We start from the raw sequence: 3,117 nt of genomic DNA, 5'->3' as shown, positions 1-3,117 counted from the left end.
ATTGCATTTTTTTTGAAAGGAAATAGTTGAACTAGAATTCTGCTTGATTCATTCACAACTTTAAATAAAATAATATAGAGTTTCAACGTCAAATGTAAGTTAATAATAAAGAGGAGGTGGAACAAGATGGCAGAATCGGAGCTTCTAGTAATTGTAATCCCTACAGGAACACCAAAATTGAACAACTATCCACACAAAGAAGCAACCTCCTATGACCCAAAAATCAAGTGAGTGATCACAAAACTGGCTTTTGAGATCTTATTAAGGAAGCAGGCACTGAAGAGGATAAGAAAGACAGTCTTGAGTTGCAGGTACTGTCCCTCCCCCATCCCTTGGCAGTGGCCTCATGGTGTGGAGAGAGAATTTATGTGCTTGCGGGAGGGAGAGGGTAGTGATTGTGGAACTTTGCATTGTAACTCAGTGCTGTGCTGTTACAGTGGAAAGTGACATGGGCAGAACTCAGCTGGTGCTCCTGAAAGGAGCATTTAGACCAGCCCTAGACAGAGGCGAATCATTCATCCCAGCACTCAGAATTTGAGTTCCAGAAAGCCTTGCCACTGGCTTGGGAAGCTGGTTAACCATGATCAGCAGTTTTGTTGCAGGTGCTGTTCACTTTTGTCTACACCCCACTTCTATAGTTTTTACTGCTCAAACAAAATATAGGGCTGCTGGTGAAACTGTTCAGCCACAAGGCTCTGTAAGAGAACACTGAAAAGCTAACGTGTACTGAGGTCCTAAATAAACTTGAAAGGCAGTATAGGCCACAAGGACTGCAAATTCCTGGGCAAGCCCTGGGCAAGCTTGGAGCCAGTGGACTTGGGGGACATGTGACCTAAAGAGACACCAGTTAGGACAGCCAAGGAACTGCTTGGATCATCACTCATGAAAGCACAGGCAATACAGTTTGCAGCTCCCAGAGATACTCCTTTCCTCTGCTTGAGGAGAGGAGATGGGAGAGTAAAGAGGTCTTTGTCTTGCAAATTAAATACCAGCTCACACACAGTAGAATAGGGCACCAAGAAGAATCCTGAGGCTCCCATTTCAGGACTTAACTACCAGATATTGCTAGAGACACCCTGGGCTAGAAAGGAACCTGCTGCCTTGAACAAAAGTACCTAGTTTTAACAGGTTTCATTGCCTGCTAAATAAAGGGTCCTTGGGCCCTTAATAATCAGCAATGCTATCCAGGTAGTACACACCACAGGCCTTGGGTTAGACTCAGGATCAGGCTGGCTTCAGGTCTGACCTAGCACATTCCCAGCTGTGGTGGCTACAGGGAAAGATTTCCAATTGAGGAAATAAGAGAAAAGAGTAAGGGGACTTTGTCTTGCATCTTGGGTACCAGCTCGGCTATAGTGGAGTAGAGCATCAGATAGGCTTCCCGGGGGCTCAATTCCAGGCTTTGGCCCTGGCATGACATTTCTGGACATGTTCTGGGCCAAAGGAGTTTCTATACCCAAAAGGGAGAGACCCAAGCCTGACAGCATTCACCAAAAGCTGACCGAAGAGCTTTTGGGCTTTGAGTGAACATTGGTGGTAGCTAGGCAGTACTCGCTGCAGACCTAGGGTGGTAGTGGTCATAGGGAAAGACTTTTCTGCATGAGGAAAGGGGAGGCAAGAGTGGGAAGGACTTTGTAATGTAGCTTGAATGCCAGCTCCTCAGCAGTAATATAGAGCATTGTGTAGATTGCCAAGGTTCCCAACATTAGGCACTGGCTCCTGGATGGCATCTCTGGACCAGCCTGGGGTTGGGGCAAACTAGACACCCTGAACAGAAGAAAACAAGCCTGGATGGATTTGCCACCTAGTTATTTTAGAGCCCTTGGGCCTTTAGTGAACATAGTCAGTAGCCAGGTAGTCCTCATCACGGGCCTTGCGTGAGACCCAGTGCTGTGCTGGCTTCAGATCTAACCCAAAACAGTCCCAGTGGTGGTGGCTAGGGGTGTTTATATCACTTTTCCCCTAGCTCCAGGCAGATCACCATAGAGAGAGAGGGACTTTCTTTGGGGCAAAGTAAGAGAAGAGAACAAGAGTCTTTGCATGGTAATTCAGGAAATTTTCCCAGATCTTACCCAAGACCATCAAGGTGGTACCTGTATAAGTCTACAAGAGCCACGCCATTATGGGGCTTGGGGTCTCCCCTAATGCATATGTAGCTGCACTGAGCAAAGACTTAGATCACAACACCTAAGTCCATTCAGATACTTGGAAAACCTTCTCAAGAGGGATGGGTACAAGCAAGCCCAGACTATGGAGACTACAATAAGTACCTAATTCTTCATTGTTCAGACACTGATAAATATCTAAAAATAACAAGATCGTCCAGGAAAACATGACCTCACTAAATGAGCTAAATAAGCATCAATGTCCAGTCCTAGAGAGACAGAGATATGTGACCTTTAAGACGGAGAATTCAAAAATAGCTGTTTTGAGGAAGCTCAATGAAATTTATGATAACATGAAGAAGGAATTCAGGATCTTATCAGGTAAACTTAACAAAGATATTGAAATAATTAAAAAGAATCTTGTAAGTATCCCAGAGATAAAAAATACAATTGACATACCACAGAATGTATCAGAGTCTCAACAGCAGAATTGATTAAGCAAAAGAGAGAAATTTTGAGCTTGAAGATGGGCTATTTGAAAGTATACAGTCAGAGAAGACAAAAGGAAAAAGAGTAAAAAGAATGAAGCACACCTAGAGAATCTAGAAAAAATAGCCTCAAAATGGCAAATCTAAAAGATATTGGCTTTAAAATGGAGACAGAGAGAGAGATATGGGTAGAAAGTTGATTTAAAGGGAAATAACAGAGAACACCCCAAATCCAAATAAACTTTGCAATATTCAAGTACAAGAAAGTTATAAAACACCAAGCTGATTTAATCCAAATAAAACTACCTTAAGACATGTAATAATCAAACTCCCAAAGGTTATGGATAAAGAAAGGACCCTAAAAGCAGCAAGAAAAAAGAAATGAATAACATACAAAGGAGCTCCAATATGTCTGGCAGCAGACTTTTCAGTGGAAACTTTACAAACCAGGAAAGGCTGGTATGACATCTTTAAAGTGCTGAAGGGAAAAAAAAAATTATCCAGAATAGTATATCCAACAAAAA

The 3,117-nt window shown here is 42.8% G+C and overlaps 1 annotated feature.

The window, feature by feature from the left end:
- Positions 534 to 1,034: an enhancer, noted in NCBI's record as "H3K27ac hESC enhancer chr3:164607970-164608470 (GRCh37/hg19 assembly coordinates)". NCBI's record gives its function as "activates a minimal SCP1, AML or CMV promoter by ChIP-STARR-seq in primed H9 embryonic stem cells {active_cell/tissue: H9 hESC(primed)}" and the evidence as "EXISTENCE:reporter gene assay evidence [ECO:0000049][PMID:30033119]".

This window comes from Homo sapiens, chromosome 3, assembly GCF_000001405.40.
Source record: "Homo sapiens chromosome 3, GRCh38.p14 Primary Assembly".
Lineage (NCBI taxonomy): Eukaryota > Metazoa > Chordata > Mammalia > Primates > Hominidae > Homo > Homo sapiens.
This window is presented reverse-complemented; position numbering and strand designations above follow the sequence as displayed.